Source organism: Homo sapiens, chromosome X (assembly GCF_000001405.40).
Source record: "Homo sapiens chromosome X, GRCh38.p14 Primary Assembly".
In the NCBI taxonomy this organism is placed as follows: domain Eukaryota; kingdom Metazoa; phylum Chordata; class Mammalia; order Primates; family Hominidae; genus Homo; species Homo sapiens.
Window position 1 is genome coordinate 346,960 of NC_000023.11, and position 21,774 is coordinate 368,733.

At 56.2% G+C, this 21,774-nt stretch overlaps 1 protein-coding gene across 8 annotated transcripts in view, besides 3 other annotated features; it reads right to left on the reverse strand.

Moving 5' to 3' along the window:
• Positions 1 to 21,774, reverse strand: part of PPP2R3B (protein phosphatase 2 regulatory subunit B''beta) — a 52,975-nt gene that overhangs the window by 13,027 nt on the left and 18,174 nt on the right. For 5 of the 8 annotated variants that reach the window (NM_013239.5, XM_047442006.1, XM_047442001.1 and 2 more), the window contains exons 2-4: positions 14,446 to 14,631; positions 631 to 734; positions 275 to 377 (exon numbers count right to left, since the gene is read on the reverse strand). In NM_013239.5, coding sequence (NP_037371.2) covers positions 275 to 377; positions 631 to 734; positions 14,446 to 14,631 — 393 coding nt within the window. Of the gene's footprint in view, positions 1 to 274; positions 378 to 630; positions 735 to 14,445; positions 14,632 to 15,295; positions 15,374 to 16,960; positions 17,517 to 21,774 lie in introns of those variants that run through there. The other 3 variants (XM_047442004.1, XM_047442005.1, XM_047442003.1) reach the window with 2 other exon arrangements.
• Positions 15,964 to 16,479: an enhancer, noted in NCBI's record as "H3K27ac-H3K4me1 hESC enhancer chrY:273658-274173 (GRCh37/hg19 assembly coordinates)". NCBI's record gives its function as "activates a minimal SCP1, AML or CMV promoter by ChIP-STARR-seq in primed H9 embryonic stem cells {active_cell/tissue: H9 hESC(primed)}" and the evidence as "EXISTENCE:reporter gene assay evidence [ECO:0000049][PMID:30033119]".
• Positions 15,974 to 16,479: an enhancer, noted in NCBI's record as "H3K27ac-H3K4me1 hESC enhancer chrX:323668-324173 (GRCh37/hg19 assembly coordinates)". NCBI's record gives its function as "activates a minimal SCP1, AML or CMV promoter by ChIP-STARR-seq in primed H9 embryonic stem cells {active_cell/tissue: H9 hESC(primed)}" and the evidence as "EXISTENCE:reporter gene assay evidence [ECO:0000049][PMID:30033119]".
• Positions 16,480 to 16,994: an enhancer, noted in NCBI's record as "H3K27ac-H3K4me1 hESC enhancer chrY:274174-274688 (GRCh37/hg19 assembly coordinates)". NCBI's record gives its function as "activates a minimal SCP1, AML or CMV promoter by ChIP-STARR-seq in primed H9 embryonic stem cells {active_cell/tissue: H9 hESC(primed)}" and the evidence as "EXISTENCE:reporter gene assay evidence [ECO:0000049][PMID:30033119]".

The following is a 21,774-nucleotide window of genomic DNA, read 5'->3' on the forward strand; positions in this document are numbered from 1 at the left end:
TGGTGTAGACGCGGGCCCTCCCGTGAGGTGTGCAGTGTAGACGCGGACCCTCCCGTGAGCGATGAGGTGTGCGGTGTAGACGCGGACCCTCCCATGAGGGATGAGGCATGTGGTGTAGACGCGGGCCCTCCCATGAGGTGTGCGGTGTAGACGCGGACCCTCCCGTGAGGGATGAGGCGTGTGGTGTAGACGCCGGCCCTCCCATGAGGCATGCGGTGTAGACGCGGGCCCTCCCGTGAAGGATAAGGCCTGTGGTGTAGACGCAGGCTCTCACCTGCAAGAAGGGGACAAAGTCCTCCTGCACCAGGTAGTTGCAGCCGGGGCTCATGAGCAGATGGACGAACTTGGCCGCGTCGTCGTGGCAGTTCTGGAGGATTCTGGAAGGACAGGATGACTGGGCACCACCCTCACAGGGGGGTGGCTTTCGACCCCGCAGACGCAGGGTGGAACACGTGTGTGGTGTTCCACGTGGTGCGTGGCAGGTGGCCACACACGACGGCCAGGCCTGTGCCCGTACAAGGGTTTCTCCTCTCACTGCGGCAGCCTCAGGGGGCACCCGTCCTGGCACCACGGGGACCCGGGGACGCCTCCGCCCTCCCGACACAGCCCCCTGCCCAGCCCAGGACTCACTTTCTCCACATGGCGACGAACTTGTGGACGGACACGGAGCCCGTGCGCTCCCCGCCGGCGCCATAGAAGAGCGGCCCCTTCCAGTAGAGGGGGCAGCCGCAGGCCTGGGGCAGAGAGGGCAGGAGTGGGCAGTCAGCAGGGCCTGGACGCCGGCGCTCCTGCTGCGTACCTCGCGCCTGACCGACGCCGCCCAGAGACCCTCTGCTGCAGAAAGACACAGCACGCTCAGCGCGGCCTGTCTGGGCATCTGCAAACTCAACGTGGCTTTCGCTCCAGCCTTCAATCAGTCATGAGAGCTGAGCGTGGGAGTGCCGGGCACGCAGTATCCCCTGACCACAGACCACGCGTGGGCACTGTAACCAGAGGCGGCTGCATCCCCAGCGTCTGGAAATCAAGCGGCACGTACTAAGAACCAGTAAGTACGGGAATAAATGGCCCCGTCAGCCAGGCAACGCGGTGAATCGGACGGCGACAGAAACATCTCATGGAATGTGTGGGACGCACCTACAGCAGCGACCCATGGCAGGTTCACAGCCTTAAATACACGCGTGAGGAAGGAAAGTTTAAAATCGATCGTCTACACTTCTACCCCAAAGGAACAAATACATGGCAGAGATGGAACGCAAAGTAAATAGTAACAGAAAATCAACAAAATCAAAACTCGATGATTTGAAAGATTTCTTAAAAATTAATTAACCCTGGCTGGCTGGGCGTGGTGGCTCATGCCTGTAATCCCAGCACTTTAGGAGGCCGAGGGGGGTGGATCACCTGAGGTCAGGAGTTCGAGACCAGCCTGGCCAACATGGTGAAACCTCGTCTCTACTAAAAACACAAAAATTAGCCTGGCATGGTGGCGGGCGCCTGTAATCCCAGCTACTCGGGAGGCTGAGGCAGGAGAATCACTTGATCCTGGGAGGTGGAGGTTGCAGTAAGCCACGATCACACCACTGCACTCCAGCCTGGGTGACAGAGAGAGACTCTGTCTCAAAAAAAGAGCAAATACAGATTAGCCATGTCAGCTGTAACTACAGATCCTACAAACATCAGATAGTGGATGCTCATGAATCACTTTATGCCTGTAAGTCAGATGACTGCTGAAACAGACTCCCCGATGAACAAGTCAAAAAATAAACTACAATAGAAAATCTGAAAGAGCTGTTTCTGCAAGAAATTGTGTCCATAATTTAAAACTGTCCCACCAAGAAAATTCCAGCCCCCAAAGGCTGCTCCCATGAGTCGACCAAACATTGAAGGAAGAAATCACACATGCGTTCCCCTGGAGAAGAAAAACGAGGGGCGTTTCCCAGTGCCTGTTCCGAGGCTGGCACAGCCTGGACGCGGTCAGGGACACAGGAAGTCACAGGCCAGTTATCACTGGAGAGCAGAGGCAGAAATCCCACACAGAACACACAGTAGCAAGTCCAACTCGGCAATAATAGAACAGGAATATCTAATAATAATAATAGACCAGGAAACCAGAATCAGGAGGGACACTCTTATTCTCATAAAGGGTGCTATGGCCTGAATGCCTGGGTCCCCAAGATCCACGTGCTGAAATCCTCTCCCCCGAGGCGATGGTGTTGGGAGGTGGGGCCTCATGAATGCGATGAGTCCCCTTCTGAGGGACCCCAGAGAGCTCCCTCACCCCTTCCACCCCGTGAGGACGCAGCGGGAAGGCGCCGTCGATGAACCAGGCACCACTCTGCCACACCGAGATCTTCCAGCCTGCAGACCTGTGAACAGTAAATGTCTTGCTGGTGACAAGCTGCCCGGGCTATGGTGTTTCTTGACAGCAGCCTGAATGCTCAGACAAAGGGCCTCTACGAAACACCCCAGCTGCTCAGACAGCGATGACACATGAACACTTCTTCCCTGTGCTGGGAACAAGAGGACAGTGTCACCACCAAGGCCGCCTGGACGGCCGAGCCAGGGCAGCAGGCAAGGGAAAGACCGAAAGATACGACGACGGGTAAGAAGAGGCAGAACCGTCATGATTCACAAGCAACACACTGTGTAGACAATCCAAATGCTTACCAAATACGGGAATTAATAAGTATCTTCAGCAAAGTTGCTGGATCCAAGGACTATATGCAAAAATAAATTATTTCAATATACTGGCAACAAACAACTAAAAATAAAATCTTCAATAATGCCATCTATCAAGAGCATGAAAAATCAACCTACGAAAAATGGAACAAAAATCACACACAGTGTCTACAAAGCAAACTGCAGGGCACGGCTGGGTGAAATCAAAGACGACCTCAACGTGGTGAGGTGGACCTCACTGCTGAGTTCACAGACTGCAGTTTCCTCCAGACGACTCTGTTGACCCAGAGTCCACGCGATCCCCACCCACAGAGTCCAGCAATCCCCATCCACATGCACCGAGGGCCTGTTGTTTTGGGGTTTGTAGTATACACGGACAGGCTCATGTGAAAACTTACCAGGGAACACAAAAGAACTCACAGGGGGACCAAGTTGGTGGATATGAGTCCCACTGCCCGGTTTCAACCCTTCCTGTAAAGTCAGAGTAATGAAGACTCAGTCAGTCTCTGTCGGGCACCGGTGGCCTAAGAGAGCAAGGGAAGGAAGTGAGTTGGGACAGAGCCCCGTGGAATATCCACAGGCAAAGACACTTCACACAAACTGAATACCAGGGGATCCCAGCCCGAAGGGTGAAAGGCCAAACAGCGGCCCCTCCTGGAAGGAAACGAGGGACGCTGCACGGCTCTGCCGCGGCCAAGGTTTCTTTCACGGGCCACACGTGCGCTCCCTGAAGGAAGGGAGCACCGCTGCACCGCCCCAGCGCAGGACTCAGGGTCAGCTACCGGCACGGTGAACACCATGACAGGACATGACACAGAGGGAGAAATGTCTCTGCAAGGCGAGATTCTGACGAGGGACTCAGAGGCAGAATTTTAAGCATCAGTGAGAAAGAGGCCCGAACACGACCGAGTGGACATGCACTGCCCTCCGGAGAGGGGTGCACGGTGGCCGTAGACAAGGGGAAGCGCCCAGCACTGGCGCCGGCGAGGGCAGGGTTCACAGGGCATGGAGAGGTGGCAACAAGAACATGACACGCGCGGCTGAGACAAAAAGGACTGAAGACGCCAGGTCCCGCGAGGCTGCCAGGCAGCTGGGTGTCCTCCGCGTTGCTGGGGGAACTGGGACGCCACGCAGCTGCCGGGAAAGCGGCCCACGGGGCGGCTGAGCGTAAAGCCCCGTGGCCCGGCCAGGACATCTGTCCTCCCAGAAGCACACCAGTGGGAAGAGGGCCCGTGCCCGTGAGAGCCTGCACAGATGGGGACGTCGGCTGCTTGGTTCACGGTGCCCCAGGCGAGAGGAGCCGGACGCCAGAGCAGGGACTGGAGGAATAAACTGTGGCAGAGTCGTCCTGACAGGTGCAGGGCGGGAGTGACCACGGGGGGGCGTGGGGGACTGCAGAGGGGGCTGCGCGCCACAGCGGGGATTGCAGTGCTGCTATGGGAAAGGACGCGCTCCGGCTGGCGCACCTGTGGATGACTTGAAGGCAGCCGTGTGCGGCTGGAGGGGCCGGGCCCCGCAGGACGCACAGGCACGTGCCGGCTCCCGTGATGAGGATCCTGACGGAGCTCAGCCCTGGCCACCTGGAAGGGCGTCCCGGTGCGGTGGGAGGGAACGAGCCGGGTGCAGCACCGGGTCCTTGGGCTAGTGCTAGTCCCACGCTTTTGACCTCATGAGACCATTCTGGCTCACAGGCCGTGCAGGTTTCAAACCCCAAGCGCTCAACACCCAGGGATGGGGGGATGTGTGAGCCTTCACATCTGTGCTCCTCACCGCGTGCAAGACACACCGTCATGACCCGGTGGCAGGGATGGAGCATCAGATCTATCCAGCCGTGCAGGATATAGCGTCTCATGTGTCCAGACCTGCAGGCTGGAGTGCAGTGTGTGATCACAGCGTGATCCATTTTTATTCTACTTGTTTTTCGAGACACGGTCTTGCTGTTGCCCAGGCTGGAGTGCAGTGTGTGATCACAGCGTGATCCATTTTTATTCTACTTGTTTTTCGAGACACGGTCTTGCTGTTGCCCAGGCTGGAGTGCAGTGTGTGATCACAGCGTGATCCATTTTTATTCTACTTGTTTTTCGAGACACGGTCTTGCTGTTGCCCAGGCTGGAGTGCAGTGTGTGATCACAGCTCAGTGCAGTCTCAACTTCACGGGCTCAAGCAATCCTCCCACCTTAGCCTCCCAAGTAGCTGGGACCACAGGTGCGCGCTATCATGCCTGGGTAATTTTTTTAATTTCTACAGTGAAGTCTCACTATGTTGCCGAGGCTGGTCTGGAACCCTTGGCCGCAAGCCATCCTCCCGCCTTGGCCTCTCAAAGTGCTGGGACTACAGGGATGACACTGCAACCAGAGACAGCTGCACCCCCGGCGTCTGGGGGATGAGAACTGAGCGGGAGAGTGCTGGGCACACAGTCCCCCCACCACACCAAACCCGAAAATTACCTCCAAATGAATTAGCTCATAATTTAAAATAATCCTAAAGTAAATGGAGATAATCAACTCTAAAATGCAAAAGATACAAAGGAAAGCAGTTTTACCTGAATGTCACAAAATCCTTATGGGAAAGGGAATAAAACATCAGATACCCTGATCTGACTTTTAAAAGTCTTTTCGTGATCGACACACAGAAAGACCGACTCCTTGTGGGGCCCGGCAACGCGGCGGCACGCCCACCCGCACGGCCAGGACAGGGAACGAGGCCGCCAGCCCTGACAGTCCCTTCGGCCCCTCCGCAGTCCGCTACGGCGACGGCCCCCAGGCCTCCTCCCCGTGGCTCCAGTTCACCTTTTCCAGGACACGGCAACGGGACCCGGCCATCTGCGGACTTTTAGACCTGGCTTCCCTCGCTCAGCACATGCGTGTGGGACTCACACACCTTGCTCTGTGTGGATCGTCTGCCCACCTTGCTCTGTGTGGATCGTCTGCCTGTGTACTGCTGAACCCTATTCCATTATGGCTCTGCTGACCTCAGAGTAGCTCCCTGAGCAGGAAACACCGCCGGCCCCAAGGCCCACGTGATGGTGCTGCTGAGGGGGACTCGCGAGGCAGACAAAGTCCCGAGCGTCTACAGTCGCACAGGGCACGCCGACACCAACCGACAGGTGTGAGAGGAGAAAGGAGGACGCCACAACCACGGCCGGCAAGTTCAGCACGCGTTCCTCGGCGGGTGACGGGACAAGAGGACGATCTGCAGACACGTAAAGATGTGAAAACGCTGCCAAGCTATGTGAGCGAGTGACATCGCGGAGCCGGAGGAGTCTTCAGGGTCACATGAACCAGTGGTGGGCTGTGGCTCGGAGCCCCCACCCAAGTCTCACGGGGAACTGTGATCCTGAGTGTTGGAGCAGGGCTCTGCTGGGGGGTGACTGGGTGATGAGGGTGGACAGCCCCCTTGCTGGTCTCGTAATCCTGAGTTCTTGTGAGATCCGATGGTCTAAAAGTGGGTGGCAGTGGCCGGGTGCGGTGGCTCAGGCCTGTCATCCCAGCACTTTGAGACGCCAAGGCGGGTGGATCACCCGAGGTCAAGAGTTCGAGACCAGCATGGCCAACATGGTGAAACCCCATCTCTCCTAAAAATACACAAATTAGCCGGGTGTGGTGGCGCATGCCTGTAATCCCAGCTACCCAGGAGGCTGAGGCAGGAGAATGGCTTGAACCCAGGAGGCGGAGGTTGCAGTGAGGTGAGATGGTGCCATTGCACTCCAGCTTGGGTGACAGAGCAAGACTCTGTCTCCAAAAAAAAAAGAGAAAAGATGATACAGACAGCCTGTGTTTATTGAAACAATTCATGCTGTCATTAAAAACCTTCCCACAGAGAAAACTATCCCAAATGGCTTCACTGATGAGTTCTACCAAACATTCAAATAAAAATAACACCCATTCTAAACAAATGGCTCCAGAAAAGTGAATTCTAAAGGACATTTTCCAAGCAACTCTCCGAGGCCAGCATCCCCCCGATGCTAAACCAGACCAAGCTATCACAAGAAAAGGAGACCGCAGGCCAGTCCTTCACGAGCGCAGACGCAACCCCTGCGAGGCCTGGCAATGTGGACCCAACACATAGGAGAAGTGTGACACTGTGTGGTGGACCAGGGACCGGGGGCTGGGGGCTCACCCAAAGACCGGGGGCTCACCCAAAGACCGGGGCTCACCCAAAGACTGGGGCTCACCCAAGGAGCAGGGGCTCGCCCAAAGACCGGGGCTCGCCCAGGGACCGGGGGCTCACCCAAAGACCAGGGCTCACCCAAAGACCGGGGGCTCACCCAAAGACTGGGGCTCGCCCAGGGACCGGGGGCTCACCCAGGGAGCAGGGGCTCACCCAAAGACCAGGGCTCACCCAAAGACCAGGGCTCATCCAAAGACCGGGGCTCACCCAGGGAGCAGGGGCTCGCCCAGGGACCAGGGGCTCACCCAAAGACCGGGGCTCGCCCAAAGACCGGGGCTCACCCAGGGACCAGGGGCTCGCCCAAACACAGGGGGCTCACCCAAAGACTGGGGGCTCACCCAAACACCGGGGGCTCACCCAGGGACTAGGGGCTCACCCAAACACCGGGGGCTCACCCAGGGACCGGGGGCTCACCCAGGGACCGGGGGCTCACCCAAACACTGGGGGCTCACCCAAACACCAGGGGCTCACCCAAACACCGGGGCTGCCTTCACACTCAGACGTCAGTCAGGTCAAGACCAGTCCTTCATGACCACAGACGCTACCCCTGCGTGGCCGGGCAATGCACGCTGCGGTGGAACAGGGACCGGGGGCTCACCCAAGGACCGGGGCTGCCTTCACACTCAGACGTCAGTCAGGTCCATTCACCTTTTACAGGACCAAAGGAAAACCTCACTGCCCTCTCAATACACGCAGAAATACACATTTAGCATCCCGGACAAACTTCAAGGCACTTTTATAATTTTAAAAAGTAAACTGAGGCCAGGCGTGATGGCTCATGCCTGTCATCATCCCAGCACCATGAGAGGCTGAGGCAAGAGGATCCTTCCAGCCCAGGAGTTCCAGACCAGCCTGGGCAACATAGCAGAACCCTGTCTCTACCAAAAAAGAAAAAATCAGCCAGGTGTGGTGGCGGGTGCCAGTAGTCACGGCTACTCGGGAGGGCTGAGGTGGGTGGATCACTGGAGCCCAGGAGGTCGAGGCTGCAGTGAGCTGAGATCATGCCACTGCACTCCAGCCCGGGGGCAGAATGAGAACCTGTCTCAAAAAAAACACAAGAGCTCCCAGCAAACAAGAAACCAAAAGGGAAGGGGCCTCCTGAGTCTGATGAAGGACGCCAGGCAGGGCCGCTGCGTCACGGACGACTTGAGCCCGAGGCGGGAAGGGGCGTGCTCTCCACGGCTCTCCAGCACTGCACTGGCAGGCCGAGCCTGTGTACAGAAAGTCAGGGAGGAGACACCGATGCAGACGAGAAGAGAAAGGCTGAACTGTGCTCACCTGAAGATGACCTGACCGTGCGTTAGAGACTCTGCCGGACTTAAAGGTTGAGCTGGTAGAGCCGATGACTGAGTTAAACTTGGTCAGAAAATGCAAAGTCCACATATAAAACCTAACAGTGCTTCTCAACATTCACAATTGACAATCATATTAAAGTAAAAAAATACCACGTACAGTGTCATCAGAAACAGGAAATGCTTGGGTATCAATGTGATGAACCGTGAACAAGACCAAACTACAAGGCGTACTGAAAGAAGTGAAAGATGCCTGAAATAAGGGAGAGCTGGACCGCGTTCATGAGACGGAAGCCTCAATATGGTCAAGATTCTTCCAAGTTCATCTGGAGTCAACAGGATGCCCATGTAATCCCAGCAGGCTGTCGTAGCAACGGAGGGACCGGCTCTAAAATTCACACGGTGGGAACGAACAACGGTGCAGCCACTCGGGAAGACAGCGTGCAGGTTCCCCAGAAAGCCGGAAGTGGAACTGCACGCGCACACGGAACACCACGCGATCCGGCCCTCCACACACGCACATGGAACACCGTGCTGTATATGCCACAAACGTCTCCGAGTTCTGTGCTCCAAATGGTTACGGTGGTGAATTCTGTTGTGTGAATTTTCCCATAATAAAAAAAAGTGCCTGCTGTCTGATTCTGTTTACATAAAATTCCAGAAAATTCCGGCTAATCTATATTGACAGAAAGGAGGCCTGAGGTAGCGTGGGATGAGGGCAGGTGCGCGTCAGAAAGCAGCAGAGAAAAGTCCAGCGCACGTGCCCGCTCAAGCGCAAGGATGCAGGGACGCCTATTGTCTTGGTGCTGTGGATAGTTTCATGGGTGGGTACAGACGTCAAAGCTCATTGAATTGTACCTTCCACACGCACCATGCATCCCACATCAGTTATATCTCAACACAGCTGCCCCAAAATGAAAAAAAGGCAAACTGATGAGAAAGAAACACGTAAGGTGGTCAACACGTACATCAGGGAAATGAGGAGTGCAGCCAGGACGGGACGCCTGCACACGCACAGAACGGCTAAAGGCAAAGCGTGTGGCCACGTGCCCGCAGGGGTCAACGCTGCTGCCTGGAAATGCGTCACTCAGGGCCACCCCGGAAGCAGGGTTTTTTGTTTTTTGTTTTTTTGCGTAGAGACACAGTCTTGCTCAGTCGCCCAGGCTGGAGTGCAGTGGTGCGATCTTGGCTCACTGCAACCTCCACCTCCCAGGTTCAAGCGATTTTCCTGTCTCAGCCTCCCGAGTAGCTGGAATGACAGGTGCCCGCCACCATACCTGGCTAATTTTTGTATTTTTAGTAGAGATGTGGTTTCATCATGTTGGCCAGGCTGGCCTCGAACTCCTGACCTCAGGTGATCTGCCTACCTCAGCCTCCCGAAGTGCTGGGATTAGTGGAGTGAGCCACCACTCCTGGGCCCTGGAAGCAGTTTTATAGCTTCTTACAAAACTAAACATGTGGCCACCAGATGAGGCAGAGCTCACCTCTGCGGTATTAATCACCTCAGGAAAATGCAAGCATGTCTGCGTAAATCAGTGCACAGACACACAGCAGCTTTACTCACAAGAAGCAAAAACCAAAGCAACCAGACGTCTATCAACCCTGGAACAGGGGAGAGATGGAGCACACACACAGCAGAAGCTACTCAGTGATAGAAAAGAAACTGCCCATACGGCCAGGGACACATAGTGAGCCCCACAGTATCCACACCCTGGCCAGCCACACGGGAGCCCCACGGTAACCACGCCTTGGCCAGCCACACAGCGAGCCCCACAGTATCCACACCCCGCCAGCCACACAGCGAGCCCCACGGTAACCACGCCTTCGCCAGCCACACAGCGAGCCCCACAGTATCCACACCACAGGACTTAATCAGTCCTCAACACACACACATAGCGAAACATCTTGCTGTACCCTGTATACACAAATATTACTTGTCCATTCAAAATAAAATTTAAAATAAAGATGCTGCCAGGAAGAAGTTAGAAACCACAGACAAAATGCTCCAAGAGTCCTCATGTGAAATTCTAAGAGAGGCAAAGCTACAGCGACCGGAAGCACATCTGCAGCTGGCCCGGGCCAGGGAGAAAAGAGGGGAATGATGAGGTGCAAAAGGAGGCACGTGGGACACCCGCGGCAGGTGACAAACGGCCGGTCCTGCCTATGAGGATGGATACCCAGGTGTGTGCTTTACCAAAATGGATCAAATTGTACACTTAAAATTGGTGAATCTTAGGGTGTGTAATTATATGACAATACAGCTGGCCAAACAAAAAACTATTCAATAAACTAAAAAAAATGACAGAAGGAAGTGTATGTAAAAAAGATGACCATAGATATTCATGAGAGAAAGAACTGAAATAATCTGTAACACTGACAGCTGCTTTACTGAAAGAGATATACGTTAGTGTGTAGCATGACGGATCAAGAAAGGAACCGGAAATAAATGATTCTGTCAAGAAAGTGTCTATGTATGATGCAGATACGATCAAGATTTTGTAAATCGTACAAGACAAGGAAAAGCTTTAGAGCAAGAAATTTCTAAGTTACGCAAAAAATTTTTAGAAAAAATGTAAATCATCAAAATAGTCTCCATAAATGAAAACCCTGAATTAGCCAACAACGTTTGAAGGAAATTAACAAAGAGAAAAGTGTGTTTTCCTGTGGGGGCAGCTGAGGGGGTGGAGTTTGGTGGAGGTGAAGGAGCTGATGACTCTGTCTCAAACGGCTTCAGAGAAAACACAGAGGAGTGACAATGATGAAAGGGAGGAAATGATGTATGAGATCAGCCCTGACTCACACAGACAGGAAGAACCGGGCCAGGAGAAGGCACACACGGACCTCGCTGCACGGCCACGGCTAAGATCCACGGGGGGACCCCCCTCATCAAACTCAAAGTCCCCTCAGACGTGAGTTCTCAAGCAGCCGCCGGCCAAAGTCCACCCGCCTGACAACACGCGTGTGGAGCTGTGACTCCAGGCCCTCATTCAGTCACTCACGCGACGGGGAGAACTCGAAACGGCAGTGACACCCCTACTCGTTCGTCCCCTGGGCCGGGGGCCCGGCTCACAGAAAACCGTCCCAAAGGCACACGATGGAGACGTGGACGGACATCTGCAGGTGGCGGCGAGCTGGGCGCCACCGAGACAGGCTCAGCAGCCTTGGCGGGGAAGCTGAAGTTTGCCTGCGGCCCCCACACACGCGGGACGCTCACAGGGTTCTGCCGCCACAGCGCAGGTGGATTAAGTCGCGACAGCGCACACCCTGCTGGCCTCTGCCCACAGTCACGGTGGGTGCTCGAGCACCATGCTCTCCGCCTGCAGGGCCGGGTCGGTGCGTGCAGGCACAGTGGGGCCTGTGGAGGTGTCTCTCGGACTCCCAGCGGTGCAGACGCTGCAAGCGACACAACTTCAGTCTCAGAGCTCTCCCCTGCCCCGCTGGGTCACACCCAGGTCACCCTGCTTCTCTGGGGCGTCGAAGACAACGACAAAACTTGCTTTTTACCACCAAACGTGACATCCAGCCAACGGACCAGGTTCTTTCAAGTCTTAAAGCCTCACTACCTTAGACGGCCACCAAGGCCAGTGCCGCTGTGCGTGGAAGCGAGGTGACACCGAGAACTGAGTCCTGGAAGGAAAATGACATGAAACGCGCACATGAGAACCAGGCGCCGAGGCGGGGAAGCACCGCGGAGGGGGGGTGGCCGCTGTGGGGGGCGGCACCACGGTGGGGGGAGGCGCCGTTGGGGAGAAGCACCGTGGGGATGAAGCACCGCGTGGGGAGGGGCGCTGTGGCGGGGAAGCACCGTGGGGACGGGCGCCCTGGCGGGGAAGCACCGCGGCGGGGGTAGGGGAGGGCGGGGCGGCGCCCTGGCGGGGAAGCACCGCGGCCGGGGAGGGGCATCGTGGCGGGGAAGCACTGAGGGGAATACATGGGTCCCATGCAGGAACCTCACTGGGCTGCGCGAGCGGCTTTGTAGGACCCGAAGCGGACGCAGCGCGTGAGCTGCAAAAGAGGTGTCTGACCCAGCCCGAGGCGCGCAGAGACCCTGTGGGTGGGGCCGGGCGCACTCCGCGAGGGTGAGTTCTCCACACAACGGAGGCTGTACTGAAAAGGATGAAGGTGTCCCAGCAGACGGAATGCCAGCAAAGAGACCTCCCAGTGAAGGAACTCTCAGAGATACCCCACAACTTCAAGAGCACCAAGGATAAAACGCGGAAGCTGAGCAAGGCGTGTTAAGTCGAGTGAGTCTGCCAGGGCACGGAGCAGGTGCTCACTCCACACGGGACAAGGAGATGGCACTGCTGTAACTACTTTTGGCAAGTTTTTACTGAGAGATGAAACAATTCTTAATGCTTCTGGTGTTTTAAGTTACAGCATACTAGGTAAATATTAGTTCTTTTCATTCACTACATGTTTGCAACCGACTGTAAGAAAGTTTCTAATATTTCAACAAAAATGATTATAGAATGATCCTAATTTTTACTGGAAGATGGTTTTGCATGGTTGTGACTTATCTGGTCCTTTCATGGCCCCACACTGCCGTACAAGACAGGGACACCTCTACAAATACGGAGTGACTTAGCAAAAACAAATATGCAAGTGTACAACAGCATGCTAATTTTTCTCTAAGAAATGCAAGAAGTATGTATGTTCATACTCATACACATATTTGTACATAATTGCTCATATTAAAAGCTAAAATAACAATAAGAGGATAAACCAAAGCTATGGAAACTATTACCTCTGGGGTAGAAACAGCACAGACAGGGACAGAACCTGGACTTACCTGAATGTGTCTAGTTTGTTAGTGCTCACTTTGTAACCATGGAGGTTTTTACATATTTATAAAACAAAACTTTTTAAAATACTTTAAAAACACAATCCCTAATAGAAAAAGGGCGGGGACACTTAATGTGTTCTTTCAGACCCGTATTGCCCTAAAACCAAAACCAGACAAAGGACTCACAAGAAAACTACCAAGCACTGTCTTCTCTGTGAATCCAGTTGCAAAATTATTGGAATCCAGCAACATATAAAAAAGATGAGACACAGCGACCATGCGGAATTTATCCCAGGAATGCAAGGTTGGTTTAACATCCCAAAACCAACTCATTTAATAGACTGTATTAATAAGTTAAAAAAACAAAACCCGGCCAGGTGCAGTGGCTCATGCCTGTAATCCCAGCACTTTGGGAGGCCGAGGCAGGCGGATCACTTGAAGTCAGGAGTTCAAGACCAGCCTGGCCAATATGGTGAAACCCCATGTCTACTAAAAATATAAAAATTAGCCAGGCATGGTGGTGCATGCCTATAGTCCCAGCTACTTGGGAGGCTGAGGCAGGAGAATCACTTGAACCCAGAAGGTGGAGGTTGCAGTGAGCCGAGATTACACCACTGCACTCCAGCCTGGGTGACAGAGCAAGACTTTGTCTCAAACAAGCAAACCCAAAAAACAAAAACCTGCTCACTCCCGAGGACCCCCTTCACAGCTGCAGAGCTGGAGAGGGCTGGGGGGCAGGGGTCTCACCGTGAGGGGCTCACATGTACCGTGCACCGAGGCTCTGGGGCTCTGACTTGGAGGGGTGGGAGCATCCACTGGCCAGCGACTCCACCTGGAGGGTAGGAGGCTGGAGATGCGGGCACAGGTCCCTGGAAACACAACCACCCACCAGGGGTCCAGACACGCATCTCTGGTGTAGGCCTTGCCTTGGTAACGGACAGACACTAAACTGAGTGTGCTCCATCTGTGGGCGTCCAGGCGGTCAGCCTGGAGAGCATGCAGCTGAGAAGGAAAGCAGGCGGCGAATGATGCACGCCGCGCCGCAGCACTCAGGGTGAGTCTAGAAATGGGCCCATGGGGCTGCTGCCAGGAGACGGGTCCACAGCTGCCCAGCCTGGGATGGCCGCTCCTCGGGCAGAAAGGGGCAAGGCCAGGAGGGTGCAGAACGGCCTCCGAGAGCCACGAGAGCTGGCGCCACTGGCCCCGGAGGGGAGAGAAGGGGAGGGTGGCACAGGGCGGGCCTGCGCTCTTCACAGCATCAGGATGAGAATGCAGACGGAATTCCCACTCGCATTTCAGATGCTTAAGAATTCACACAGCAGCAACCAGACAGCAAACCTCAGACCACAACTATAACCTCAGAGAAAACCTGGGCCGCTCCCGCACACGTGTGAAACGCACCCTCCTCGGCCGTGCCGCCTCACTCACGCTCGTGTGACACGCACCCACCACGGCCGCTCCGCCTCACCCTCACATGCCCGCAGTACCACCTCGGCTGCTCCACGTCCCACGCGTGACACGTACCTTGGCCACCAGGCCCATGTCATCCATGGTGGCCCTCTCGTGGGGGAACCGGGCGAAGGTGCTCTCGATCTTGCTGATGACGGCATCCACGTTGACGGAGTCCTGCGGGCGTCCTCTGGGGAAGTAGAAGGTCGGAATGCTTTGGCTCGTGGCCGGGGGCAGAGGCTCTTCTTTCCGTGTCTGAACCTGAAGAGTCGACAGACAGCGCTCAGTTAGAACCTGGGAGCATCGAACGCCTTCTTCACCCGGACAACACACGGGGCCTCTCTAGGGCCGACAGTGCTGAGGCCACCTGATCCCAGCCGGGAGAGGACACACTGCAATCCCTGCGGGGGACCACACACGTACTCCACTGCAGGGCCCACCTTCACCCAGGAGGCCACACCATGCTGCCATGGACCCCACTCTGGGTGGCGGCTCTGCGCCACTGAGCCCCCATCACACCGAGCAGGGCCCTGGGGACAAGGGCAGCTACGTGCCCCAGGCACCTGAGAGCCCAGCCAGGACCCACTCCCGATTCCCATGAGCCACACCACTGACCCCACCACACCTGGCAGGGACCTGGGGAAAAGGGCAGCCACGCACCCCAGACGCCTGAGAGCTCAGACGTGGAGAGGCACAGGTGCCGTCCACAGGCAACCCTGTCCCTGGAGCCCGGAAGACTCACATTCTGAGAGGCAGAGGCAGGGCAGGCAACCACACAGCCAGGAGAAGGGGTCGACCACCAGGTACTGCTGCGGACACGCCTCAGCCCCTCACCCGGTGCACAGCCCACGCCCACGGGCTCTTGGCCCCACTCAGCACCAGCACTCTCCTCACCCAGTATATCTGCAGGCCCCAGAACACTCACTCAAGAGTCTCCTGCTTGCATCTCTACACAACCTGCGAGGTGGACATTTGATCTCATCCCGTGATGTTAAAACACCATCTGAAACAGTTAACAGCATCAGCAACCGTACTGCGTCCTCCTCCATCAACTGCCCAAGGGACGGTGCTGCGTCCTCCCCCACCATCAACTACTGAAGGGACGGGGCTGCGTCCTCCTCCTCCTCCAACTACCCAGGGAACGGGGCTGTGTCCTTCCCCATCAACTACTCGGGACGAGGCTTCGTCCTCCCCCATCAACTACTCAGGGGACAGGGCTGTGTCCTCCTTGACCAACTACCTAGGGAATGGGGCTGCGTCCTCCTCCTCCTCCATCAACTACTCAGGGGACGGGGCTGTGTCCTCCTCAACCAACTGCCATGGAGGAGGGGTCCAGGGAGGAAGTCCGCATACCAGTGGACCACAGCTCAGGGCCTTTGCACCCACAATCCTGACTGCCTGGATCAATCCAGGACTGGGTCCAAGCTCCAGTGTCCACACAGAGAAAACAGCCCGCCCTGCTACTCCCACAGGACCCTCACCCCAGGTCACAAGGGTCCCACAGACAGCACCCCAACTGTCCCCACCCTGCTACTGCCACAGTATCCTCACCGCAGGTCACAAGGGTCCCACAGCGCCCCAACTGTCCCCACCCTGCTACTCCCACAGGACCCTCACCCCAGGTCACAAGGGTCCCACTGACAGCGCCTCAACTGTGCCCACCCTGCTGTCGCTGCAGGACCCTCACCCACGGTGAGACTCAGTTGTTTTTCTCTGATCCCCATGTAGGAGGAACAGAGGCCGCCTCCGTGACCTGGGGCAGAGCAGGCTTCCCGCAGTAGCTGCCGACTGAGTGCTCCTTCAGCACAGCTTTACCTAAGGGCACACCCCTTCCCTGTGATTCAGAACGTGACCTCTGTGTCCTGGGGCAGGAGGTCCCTGCATCTCCCCGAGCCCGCGATCCCACAGTGCATCTCCCCGAGCCCATGATCCCGCAGTGCATCTCCCCGAGCCCACGATCCCGCAGTGCATCTCCCCGAGCCCACCATCCCACAGTGCATCTCCCCGAGCCCACCATCCCGCAGTGCATCTCTCCGAGCCCACCATCCCACAGTGCATCTCCCCGAGCCCGCAATCCCACAGTGCATCTCCCCGAGCCCGCGATCCCACAATGCATCTCCCCGAGCCCACCATCCCACAATGCATCTCCCCGAGCCCAGCATCCCACAATGCATCTCCCCGAGCCCGCGATCCCGCAGTGCATCTCCCCGAGCCCGCGATCCCGCAGTGCATCTCCATGAGTCCACGATCCCACAATGCATCTCCCCGTGCCCGCAATCCCACAATGCATCTCCCCGAGCCCACCATCCCACAGTCATCTCCCTGTGCCCACCATCCCACAATGCATCTCCCCAAGCCCGCGATCCCACAGTGCATCTTCCCGAGCCCACAACGCATTCCCGCAGCGGCGCCTTCCCGTCTCTCGCTGTGGGGGTCCCACTGTGGAGCCTGCGGCTCTTCCTCCTTCATCACGCTGGGTTCACACAGCTCTGCTATTTGGGGTACGGAACTGACCCCGCGAATATTCTGCAGTGAGCTCTCGGGCTCCTGTGTTTGGCAATATAGCAATGACCTGGGTACACAAACCAACCTTCCTGATGAAAACTGCCAAGAACCCTGGACAGAATAGTTGACAAACGTCTTCTAGACGGCGCCCACAGGCTGGCAGGAAAGGAGGACACCTCAGGCCACAGCTGCCTGGAAGGAAGAACCCGGGGAAGCCCGTGGAGCCTGAACAGGCTCTGCCTTCAGAAGCGTGGGCCGAGCGGGCTCACCCGAAATCTCTCACAGCCTTGCAGAGCTCTGGGGAAGAGGAGGCAAAACGCAGGGTCCTCCGGGGAAGCTCCCAGAACGCGTCACCTTCAGTGGGAAGAATGAGCTCCAAGTAAATCCCCAGCGCGCCTCCGGCCCCAGGAATGAAAGTAGCAGCCTTCACCTGGAGCTGCTGGTACGAGCTGGGCAGGGGGGAGTTCTCCCCCGAGAACTGACGGCTACAGCCGACTCTCCTGCAGGTTTGCAAACCAAACTCACGGTCACCAGGATGCTGCGAAAACCCTCAAACCGGCCGGGCTCGTGCCTGCAATCCTGGCGCTTTGAAAGGAGGCTGAGGGGGACAGACTGTCTGAGCTGAGGAGTTCAAGACCAGCCTGGGCAACATGGCAAAACTTCATCTCTACTAAAAAAAAAAAAAACAAAAAAAAAAAAACAGAAAACAAAAAACAAAAAGAGTATAAAAAAAATTAGCCGGGTGTGGTGGAGGGTGCCTGTACTCCCAGCTACTCGGGAGGCTGAGGCAGGAGAATCGCTTCAACACAGGAGGCGGAGGTTGCAGTGAGCTGAGATCGCACCACTGCACTCCAGCCTGGGCGACAGAGTGAGACTCTGTCTCAAAACAAAACAAACGATTAACCAGGTGTGGTGGCGCATGCCTGTACTCCCAGCTACTCGGGAGGCTGAGGCAGGAGAATCGCTTCAACACAGGAGGCGGAGGTTGCAGTGAGCTGAGATCGCACCACTGCACTCCAGCCTGGGCGACAGAGTGAGACTCTGTCTCAAAACAAAACAAACGATTAACCAGGTGTGGTGGCGCATGCCTGTAATCCCAGCTACTGGAGAGGCTGAGGCAGGAGAATCGCTTCAACACAGGAGGCGGAGGTTGCAGTGAGCTGAGATCGCACCACTGCACTCCAGCCTGGGCGACAGAGTGAGACTCTGTCTCAAAACAAAACAAACGATTAACCAGGTGTGGTGGCGCATGCCTGTAATCCCAGCTACTTGAGAGGCTGAGGCAGGAGAATCGCTTCAACACAGGAGGCGGAGGTTGCAGTGAGCTGAGATCGCACTACTGCACTCCAGCCTGGGCGACAGAGTGAGACTCTGTCTCAAAACAAAACAAACGATTAACCAGGTGTGGTGGCGCATGCCTGTACTCCCAGCTACTCGAGAGGCTGAGGCAGGAGAATCGCTTCAACACAGGAGGCGGAGGGTGCAGTGAGCTGAGATCGCACCACTGCACTCCAGCCTGGGCGACAGAGTGAGACTCTGTCTCAAAACAAAACAAACGATTAACCAGGTGTGGTGGCGCATGCCTGTACTCCCAGCTACTCGAGAGGCTGAGGCAGGAGAATCGCTTCAACACAGGAGGCGGAGGTTGCAGTGAGCTGAGATCGCACTACTGCACTCCAGCCTGGGCGACAGAGTGAGACTCTGTCTCAAAACAAAACAAACGATTAACCAGGTGTGGTGGCGCATGCCTGTAATCCCAGCTACTCGGGAGGCTGAGGCAGGAGAATCGCTTCAACACAGGAGGCGGAGGTTGCAGTGAGCTGAGATCGCACTACTGCACTCCAGCCTGGGCGACAGAGTGAGACTCTGTCTCAAAACAAAACAAACGATTAACCAGGTGTGGTGGCGCATGCCTGTAATCCCAGCTACTGGAGAGGCTGAGGCAGGAGAATCGCTTCAACACAGGAGGCGGAGGTTGCAGTGAGCTGAGATCGCACCACTGCACTCCAGCCTGGGCGACAGAGTGAGACTCTGTCTCAAAACAAAACAAACGATTAACCAGGTGTGGTGGCGCATGCCTGTAATCCCAGCTACTCGGGAGGCTGAGGCAGGAGAATCGCTTCAACACAGGAGGCGGAGGTTGCAGTGAGCTGAGATCGCACCACTGCACTCCAGCCTGGGCGACAGAGTGAGACTCTGTCTCAAAACAAAACAAACGATTAACCAGGTGTGGTGGCACATGCCTGTAATCCCAGCTACTTGAGAGGCTGAGGCAGGAGAATCGCTTCAACACAGGAGGCAGAGGTTGCAGTGAGCTGAGATCGCACTACTGCACTCCAGCCTGGGCGACAGAGTGAGACTCTGTCTCAAAACAAAACAAACGATTAACCAGGTGTGGTGGCGCATGCCTGTACTCCCAGCTACTCGAGAGGCTGAGGCAGGAGAATCGCTTCAACACAGGAGGCGGAGGGTGCAGTGAGCTGAGATCGCACTACTGCACTCCAGCCTGGGCGACAGAGTGAGACTCTGTCTCAAAACAAAACAAACGATTAACCAGGTGTGGTGGAGGGTGCCTGTACTCCCAGCTACTCGAGAGGCTGAGGCAGGAGAATCGCTTCAACACAGGAGGCGGAGGGTGCAGTGAGCTGAGATCGCACTACTGCACTCCAGCCTGGGCGACAGAGTGAGACTCTGTCTCAAAACAAAACAAACGATTAACCAGGTGTGGTGGAGGGTGCCTGTACTCCCAGCTACTCGGGAGGCTGAGGCAGGAGAATCGCTTCAACACAGGAGGCAGAGGTTGCAGTGAGCTGAGATCGCACCACTGCACTCCAGCCTGGGCGACAGAGTGAGACTCTGTCTCAAAACAAAACAAACGATTAACCAGGTGTGGTGGCGCATGCCTGTAATCCCAGCTACTTGAGAGGCTGAGGCAGGAGAATCGCTTCAACACAGGAGGCAGAGGTTGCAGTGAGCTGAGATCGCACTACTGCACTCCAGCCTGGGCGACAGAGTGAGACTCTGTCTCAAAACAAAACAAACGATTAACCAGGTGTGGTGGCGCATGCCTGTAATCCCAGCTACTTGAGAGGCTGAGGCAGGAGAATCGCTTAAACCCGGGAGGCGGAGGGTGCGGTGAGCTGAGGTCGCACCACTGTCCTCCAGCCTGGGTGACAGAGTGAGACTCTGTCTCAAAAAAAAAAAAGTGAGATGAATACTTGGACATTTTTAGCCCCAAATTTACAGAGCATGCACCCCATTAACAGACACTCTACGGGGCAAAAGCTGAGGAAATGCAGCAGGGAGAAGCCAAGAGCTCCCAAAGGGAAGGTTGGAATTGAAAGAAGGGATGAAGAGCAGGTCAGCGGTAATGAGTGGGAAAACCTCGGCAGCTGACCACATAAATCAGTGATAACAATGTATGTTCAATTTAAAAAACATAAATCAGTGAAAACAACGTATGTTCAATTAAAAAAAAAAAGTCAATACAACAGCCTGTCAGTGACATGCTGACTGGATGAGTGTGAGACGGTTTGTGAGTTGGAGGAAAAGATACTGATTAATATTGGGCTTTGAAAAATTTAGTCGACGTTCCTTTTTTTTTTCTTTATAGAGACGGGGTCTCGCTATGTTGTGCTGGCTGGTCTTGAACTCCTGGCCTCCAGCGATTCTCCTGCCTCAGCCTCCCAAGGCGCTGGGATCACAGGTGTGAGGCCCCGTGCCCGGCCAGCCATTGACATTTGTAGGATAAACAGTGAGCTAGTAGGAAGCGTGTACTCCAAACGAGAGAAAAGGCGACCAAGCTGAAAAAGAGCAGGAGACAGAGGTGCAGGATGAGACGGTCACAGTCCATCACACGGATGAGCAGGCAACATCGACCTCAATGCACCGAGTGCTCTAGTTACAAGACAAAGGTCTGACTGCAGAAAGAAAACAGCATTCACGTACATGGGAGACACAGAGGACAGAAAGACAGGAGATATATGTGACTTAAGGACCCAGAGGCTACACATTTTTTTTTGAGATGGAAAAAGAGCAGGCAGACAGTAGAGAAAGCTGGTGTCGCTGTATTAACATCCATGAAGTGACACAAGGTGATGGACAGACCTGGAGACAGACAGGCCACCAAGGAACGCTGAAGAGGTCAGTCAGGGGAAGACAGGCTGATGCTAACTTTATCCATGCCTGACAACGCAGCCTCGGCACTGATCAAGTAAACACCACTGGACACAAACTGAGCCCGCTAGGCAAGGCGGAGCCCACCCACCCCGGGCACAGACACAGGGAAGGCCGGGACCACCCACCCTGGGCACAGACACGGGGAAGGCCGGGACCACCCACCTTGGGCACTGACGGGGGGAAGGCCGGGATCACCCACCCCGGGCACTGACGGGGGGAAGGCCGGGACCACCCACCCCGGGCACAGACACGGGGAAGGCCGGGACCACCCACCTTGGGCACCGACGGGGGGAAGGCCGGGACCACCCACCTTGGGCACCGACACGGGGAAGGCCGGGACCACCCACCCCGGGCACCGACGGGGGGAAGGCCGGGACCACCCACCTTGGGCACCGACACGGGGAAGGCCGGGACCACCCACCCCGGGCACTGACGGGGGGGAAGGCCGGGACCACCCACCCCGGGCACCGACGGGGGGAAGGCCGGGACCACCCACCTTGGGCACCGACGGGGGGAAGGACGGGACCACCCACCCCGGGCACCGACGGGGGGAAGGCCGGGACCACCCACCCCGGGCACCGACCGGGGGAAGGCCGGGACCACCCACCCTGGGCACCGACGGGGGGAAGGCCGGGACCACCCACCCTGGGCACCGACCGGGGGAAGGCCGGGACCACCCACCCTGGGCACCGACGGGGGGAAGGCCGGGACCACCCACCT